This window comes from Homo sapiens, chromosome 14, assembly GCF_000001405.40.
Source record: "Homo sapiens chromosome 14, GRCh38.p14 Primary Assembly".
Lineage (NCBI taxonomy): Eukaryota > Metazoa > Chordata > Mammalia > Primates > Hominidae > Homo > Homo sapiens.
Window position 1 is genome coordinate 74,838,719 of NC_000014.9, and position 7,283 is coordinate 74,846,001.

Genomic DNA, 7,283 nt, shown 5'->3' on the forward strand with positions numbered 1-7,283 from the left:
AATCTCAACTGAGGTTTTCTTATTTTGTAGGCCCCTCAGTTTTTGTGTTAAGTATTTTATCCTGCTAACTGTGCAAATTGCAGATATTTTGGTAAAGATGTCTAGAGCCTGGCTTAATTACTAGGATTATAAAAGCAACAGATTCTCAGCTGAGATAAGTTTTGCTAAGCCATAGAAGGAGAATGATTTCTCATTTTTAGTATTCACAGACCCTAATACAAGTTCAGATTCTTCTAGAAGCTGTATGACCTTAAGCAACTTTTTTTTTTTTTTTTTTTTTTTTGGAGACAAGGTCTCACTCTGTTGGCTGGAGTGCAGTGACGCGATATAGCTCACTGCAGCCTCAACTTCCTGGGCTCAGGTGATTCTCCCATCTCAGCCTCCCAGGTAGCTGGGACTACAAGTGTGCACCACCACACCCAGCCTTTTTTTTTTTTTTTTTTTTTAAGAGATTGGTTGTTGCCATGTTTCACAGGCTGGTCTTGAACTCCTGGGAGCAAATGATCGCCTATCTCAGCCTCCCAAAGTGCTGGGATTATAGGCGTGAGCCACCGTGCCTGGCTGAAATATTTTAACCTATCTGAGCTTCAGTTTCCTGCCTATAAAATGAAAATAACAAAACACACCTATTAAACATTGAGATAATGCATGTAAGCTACTTGGCACAGTACTGAGCACATAGTAAAAGCTCAAAAATCAGTAGTCACCATCATCGTTACTTTTTGACTTGTTCTCATGTGTTCTTTTTGAAATTCAAAATATCCAGCTGGCTTGAAGATAGTTGTCACGTTTTATAGTCAGCTATCATAGACTGAGCTATGTCATATGTAATAGTACAGTGTGTTGAAAGAGTAATTATTCAGAAGCATTTTCAGGTAACCAGTGACATTGATTTTCAGAACTAGTACGGAGGCTTGAGAGGCTCAGGTGTAAAAGGTAATTTAGTACTTAGAGGGGGTTGAGTAGTAACAGAAAGTAGTTGTCAGACCACAGGTATAAACATAGGTGAGGGCACAGAATCATTGATTTGCCTTGATTTTCACATATTCAAGAAGAAAGTAACTTTGTGAATAAATAATGCGTTCATAAAGGTATAAAACTCAGGAGGTTCAAGTGTCCCATCCATCTTAACCCTCAGCCTCCCACGACTCCATCTGTAGAGGCAACCAGTGTTGAGAAAAATTGTGTGGATAAGCATTAAGTATTAATGTTTTTACCTGGTTTTTGTACACACACTACCTTATTTTTCCTTTACCAGTATGTTTTAGAGGTCATTCAGATCATATATAAAATATTCACATTTTCTCTCCCCCCCACCTCCTTCTTTGGTTTTCCAAAGGTACCTTCATAATATAAAGAGGTTTACTGAAAAATTTCAGAAATTGTTTCAGCTGCATCTCTGTTCTTTTCGTGGCATGGAATACATGGTATGGGTATATTTGTATACAATTCTTTCATATATGTAGGTTGGTGTAACCACCCTCCACCTTTCTCCTAGTCCCCCAACCCCACCATCTCTAACCCTTGGCAGCCACTAATCTGGTCTCCATTTTTATAATCTTGTCATTTAAAGAATGTTATAAATATGAAGTCATACAGTATGTAACCTTTTGGGATTGGCATTTTGGCTTTTTTCACTCAGCGTAATTTTCTTGAGATTCATTTAAGTTGTTATGTGTGTCAATAGCTTATTCCTTTTTATTGCTGAGTAGCTTTCCAACTCATTCTCTTTTGCAGCTGCAGAATGTTTTATGTCTTTACTATCATTTTAACTTACAGAGTCTCTATTAATGGGTATTCATGCTCTCGTTTACTGTTATAAATTATGAATTTCACATATACTCAGTCATTCTGCAGCTTCCTGTACTTGCCTGATTTCTAGCAATGAAGGAAAATACCGATGGCACCATTTCATAGACATACTCAAAGGATGACAAGCACTTAAGGACCAGCACAGCACAGCGGTGAACTCTCAAGACAGTATGACAGTAATGAGATGACGAAGGCACATCTTGTTTCCTGGAAAATTCTGCATGATAGGAGACTGACAAAGCAAAGAACCATGATGTGTCTTAGAGAACCAGAATGGTCAGAGACTCTGATGATCCCCTGGTCCACACGTGACTGAGAGTTAATACCTTAGGTCACTGTTCTCAGAACCTGGATATTTATATGCACGTGCACCTCAGTGACTGATCCATTCTCAGTTTTCAGGTCCATTGCTTTCACATTTGAAATAGTCAAGGAGCATCTTTATGACTGGGGCTGAGCTTCTGCATTCATGTACAGCCCTCTGCCTGCCAGCAGTGCCTTGCATTTGTGATCCTACAAAGAGCCTGTGGACTTAATGGTTTACTGTATAGGGAAAGGCTTGACTTTGTGTCTTCTACTTAAGAAGCTTGAACTTTTTACCAAATATTCGTACTCCTTTTCCTGAAAATACTGATCTAGGCTACAGATCCATCTCTTAACCATATTTGAAAAATTGAAATAATATCTTCTGCCATAACTTGAAATTCCACTCTCAGATCTGTTATTTCTGACAGTGAGTTTGTATTTCTCAAGTAGATATGTCTGATGCTTATTTCTTTTACAGCATCTGGCTCAGTGCATGGCTCATATATCTGTAGAGTGAGTAAATACAGGGAATGTTTCCTATGTGTATGGCAAGGGTCACAGACTCAGGCAGGTAACAGATGAGCAAGGCAGAGGGTGGAGACTGGTAAACTAGACAACTAGATAGGTCAGGTCAATCGGGGGCAGCACCTGCTCAGCCATAGCAGATTGTGGCCATGTGGGGATATAGGTCTCATATTGCCAGATTTCCTGGGTTTTCAAGAAAAAGTGAAAAATCTGGATTTTTATGTGAGATCTTCCAGTATTTCAGCATCAGGTTCTTTTTGTTTGTGAGTGCTTTGGCCCTCACAGCCTGCCTGCCACATCTGACTTGTGGACTGCCGGCTTGAAACCTTTGATATTTAGAGAAGTGGTTAGACCTTAGAGTTGGTTCTGGTGAGATCCTTCTTGTTTTACAGATGAGGTTTCTGAGACCGAAAGAAGGGAAGTGACTTGCTCAAAGTCTCACTGTTACTCAGTGGCAAAACAAGACTAGAATTTGGGTTTCCTGGTCCATAACCTGTCACTTTCTTTTTTCTTAACTACAATACCTCCTTTATGAAGACCTTCATAAATTCTAGGATGGTGAATTCTCCTTTATTTTGTGTGTCGTGTGCAAGTGGACATGTGTGTATTTACTAAACTCTGTGGACCTGGAAATACATTCTGATATGACTATCAGGAACAATGTGATTACTTCTGAAACCAACTTCCTTAAACTCTCATGTATAAGGTAGCTATACACCTAGGATCCCTCTTAAACACTTACTACTTGGTTGGGTAATTCTCATGAATAACAGAAGCTTGAAAATTAACAGAGTATTGGATTCAGTGATTGTACAAGAGCAGTGGAGTTTTCTCCACAAAGTAGAGAAAATCATTTGTGTATTGTTATGCAAATAGCTTACAGAACTATTAATAATTTTGTTTTCTTTAATTTGTAATTTCTTATGTAACTAGTCCATTTGCTTTCACCCAGTGATGAGCATCTTACCTGCTTCACTCGGTAGCGCTCCATTCCTAATCTTTTTAAGGACAAATTCATCAACTTGGCGTTAAAGTCTATCAGTAACATGATCCCAGCTACTTCTCCAGATTCCTCTTGAGCTGTCCTTACTACATGTGCACTACACTGCAGCCACACTGTGTGACTTATTCCCTGGGGTTTCTATTGTTTCTGCCTTGCTTTTCTCATCCTTTAGATATTAGCATTATTGGCTGGGCACAGTGGTTCACACTTGTAATCCTAGCACTTTGGGAAGCTGAGGCAGGCAGATCACTTGAGCCCAGGAATTAGAGACCAGCCTGGGCAACAAAAATGTCGGCTGCAGTGAGCTGATACTGCTGTCCACCCTGGGCAACAGGGTGTGAGACCTCATCTCAAAAAAAAAAAAAAAAAAAAAAAGCCAGGCACGGTGGCTCATGCCTGTAATCCCAGCATTTTGAGAGGCCGAGGCAGGTGGATCATGCAAGGTCAGGAGTTTGAGACCAGCCTGGACAACATGGTGAAACCCCATCTCTACTAAAAATATAAAAATTTTCAGCTACTCGGGAGGCTGAGCCAGGAGAATCACTTGAACCCAGGAGGCAGTGACCCAAGATTACACCACTGCACTCCAACCTGGGTGACAGAGCAAGACTCCATCTCAAAAAAAAGATCGGTGGTGGGAGAAACTGTCCAAAGGCCCAGCTCACATGGTACTGCGTCCCTGAATCTGTTCCTCATCTTGTTCCCTCCCAGCTCTCACAGGCTTTGTTTGTACATGTCCTACCATCTTCTCTTAATTTGCCTTTCTAGTAGAGTAACTTATATATCCTTCCCCCCCATCCTTACCCACTTACATACAAGCTCCTAGAAGGTGAGAATTATGTTTTACTCATCTTCCATCCTTGTAACACATAATATGCAGTATCTGTTACATATAGTTGCTACTCAAGAAGTATATTTAGAATTGATGACCTGGTGATTTTTAAGTATAAAATTAATTCATGTAGGTTCATATATGTATAATTTATAAAACCAATTCTTGTGTTTGCTTTTTCCCTACCTCTGTATCTTCCAGCTGGTGGCATATCAATACTTAAGGCGTAGCACATTCAAATGCCTTCAAAGGACAGGAAGATAAGTGTAAATGAGAGAATTGGCCAGTAATTTCATAATATATTTAGTTTTATTCTTTCAACAGAAACTTACTTTGTTTGCAGATTAGACATGTGGGAATATTCTTCACTCTTATAGAAAAATACCCTGTTTCTCATTCTCAAAACTTTTGGCACTCTCTTAGTTTTCCCACCTTTGGTAGAGACATAAGTACAGTATTATTTTTTCTTTACTGTGAGAAAAACAACAGCAGAAGCAGAATAAAACAGGGTACTTGGCCCTCTCAGCCTCAGGGTTCAGGAAGCAGTAGGGTATGGTGGAGGCTGGGATGGTGCAGAGTGCTTGTCCTGTCTCAGGGGACAATTCTCCAGCCAGTGGTTGGAATGAAGAAAGACAGACCCAATGTTACTAGATGAAGATAAAGTGGAAGTCTGCATTTTTATGTGAAATAGTCACAGTAGAAACAAATCACATCTGGAAGCCACATGTTACCAATAGGCTGTCATTTTGGGACTTTTCTGACATGCTCTAAAGGATGATGACAAGTCTGAAAGACAGTTATGGCAAAGAAGATATTTGTAAGAAAGGAAACATCAGGTTTTATTACATATAAATATTTTGAGCAGCACCTTTTTACTAGTATTTTGGAAAAGCATTTCTGTCTTCATTGAGCGAAGTGGCAATACATATGTAATATACTGATGCTGAATTTGCGGTGGGTTGATTTTTGTCCATTGTTGGCTTTCACATGGAAGCATGAATATTGTCTCCCCGCTACCCCTTTTGAGTGACATCCTTCCAGTACCTCCATTTCTCAAGTTGCAGGTAAGCACCTTGTGTATATACAGTTAAATAGTGGGCACACATCTATCCCAGGAAAAGAAGACAGTGAGAATTCCCTTTGGTTAAGTGGAGCAGTTGAATGGCCACTATACCTGGATGCAAATTTGATCCGAATTTTCTGCTCTAAACCCTCCACTGCTTTCTGCTGTTTCCACTGAGGAAAGAGGATGTGTGTCATTAAAGCTTTGTTGGGACCTGTCACAGTCAAGGTGGGTATAATTATGTTTAATTTATTGAAGTGTTTCTGGGCATCGTCTTTTTCAAATTCATATATTCTATCCAGAAGATGTGAATTCATTTTCATTATTAAAAAAATAAAATATTACAGATAAAGCTCAACACTCCCCCCTCCCCCTTAAGCACAAATACCTTGAATCTTAGAGGTAATTACTATTATTTTGGAGTGTGGCTTTTCCAAACCTTTTTGTGTGTATTTGTATACATATGTACTTGCCTATAAAAATACAGTTTTACTGTTTTTTACATGACTGATATTCTTTACATACTGTTCTGCAGACCTACTATGTCTTGGATACACACATGCATGTATATATGTATATATAGGTAAATATATATATAGGTAGATATAAATACATGCATTCATGTTTGTGTATATTCCATGATATGTGTATAATGGCTTACTTTTTCCTTTTTTTGTGAGTTTTTCACTGTCATACCAGTGTTGCATTGAACATCCTTGTAAATGCCTTTTGCAGGCTTATTTTCAAAAATCTTCCCTGGGGAAGATACAGAAGAATTGAATTACTGGGCTACAGGGAAACCATTTCTCTTTTTATTTTCTCCTAATAATTATCTACATGTGTGTTTTAGAAACAGTCTTAATTTAATATTGGGGGTTTCAAAATTTTTTTTCTCATTTTAAAATTCCAGTTTTATATGCTGTACTCATTTGAATTCTGCCTTTTGAATCTAGATTTGGAATTGATATGGATAAGCAAAATAGGTTCTAAGTGGTAGTGATAGTTCATAACCAGTTTGCTTTTGGAATAGGTGCTGTTTCAATCTTGGGGAAGGTAAAATGTCAATTGAGGAAATAATCTTTAATCATGAAGTTCTTTTTTCCAAGTCATTCTCTGCTCCCTTTGGAATTATGACAACTTGGATCCAGAGGTGCTGTGAAAATATTTTCTTACATCATACCTCTTCTTTTCATACAAGTTTGAATGATCCCGGAAAATACAGTTTTTGTATTTTCAAAAAAAAAAATGAAGTCTGGAACACCCACTTTTCTTAATAGGATCTAGTTTATTTGTTTAGGTAGTAAAGCTTTTATTAAAAGAACATACTTTGAGGATTTTCTGTTTCTCACCTGAGCCTTCTGTATTCACTAGATATGAAACTGAGTGCATTGGCAGGGCCTCTACTAGACCTGAAAGGCAGCATTCCCAGTGTTTATTTTCAGGGGCCAGAGGGAAGGCTATTGACTGACATTGGAGGCCTTAACCCCTGGATTGGTAAGGTTCTGGTGGAATGATTGCTTAGATTCCATAAACACTCGAATAGATGATTACTCCTTTCTGTATGTATGCATTTTTGGAAGAATGATAAAATATGAAAAGTGTGAAGAGTTGTGCACTCAAGTGGTGGTTTTGACCTGGGGAGCTTTTAAAACTCCCAAAGCTCAGGCTACACCTCATAGCAATTAAATCAGAATCTAGGAGTGGGACCCAGGCCTTGGTAATTTTTTAAAAGGCCACCAGGT

At 38.7% G+C, this 7,283-nt stretch overlaps 1 long non-coding RNA gene across 1 annotated transcript, besides 1 other annotated feature; it reads left to right on the forward strand.

Annotated features, from left to right (window-relative positions):
* Positions 1 to 447: 447 nt before the first annotated feature.
* On the forward strand, positions 448 to 3,301 carry LOC105370569 (uncharacterized). The gene is made up of 2 exons (XR_944033.3): positions 448 to 1,427; positions 1,883 to 3,301. It is a non-coding gene; the product is annotated as an uncharacterized LOC105370569 (long non-coding RNA).
* Positions 3,184 to 3,343: an enhancer, noted in NCBI's record as "active region_8731". NCBI's record gives its function as "activates an Ori minimal core promoter by ATAC-STARR-seq in GM12878 lymphoblastoid cells {active_cell/tissue: GM12878}" and the evidence as "EXISTENCE:reporter gene assay evidence [ECO:0000049][PMID:35858748]".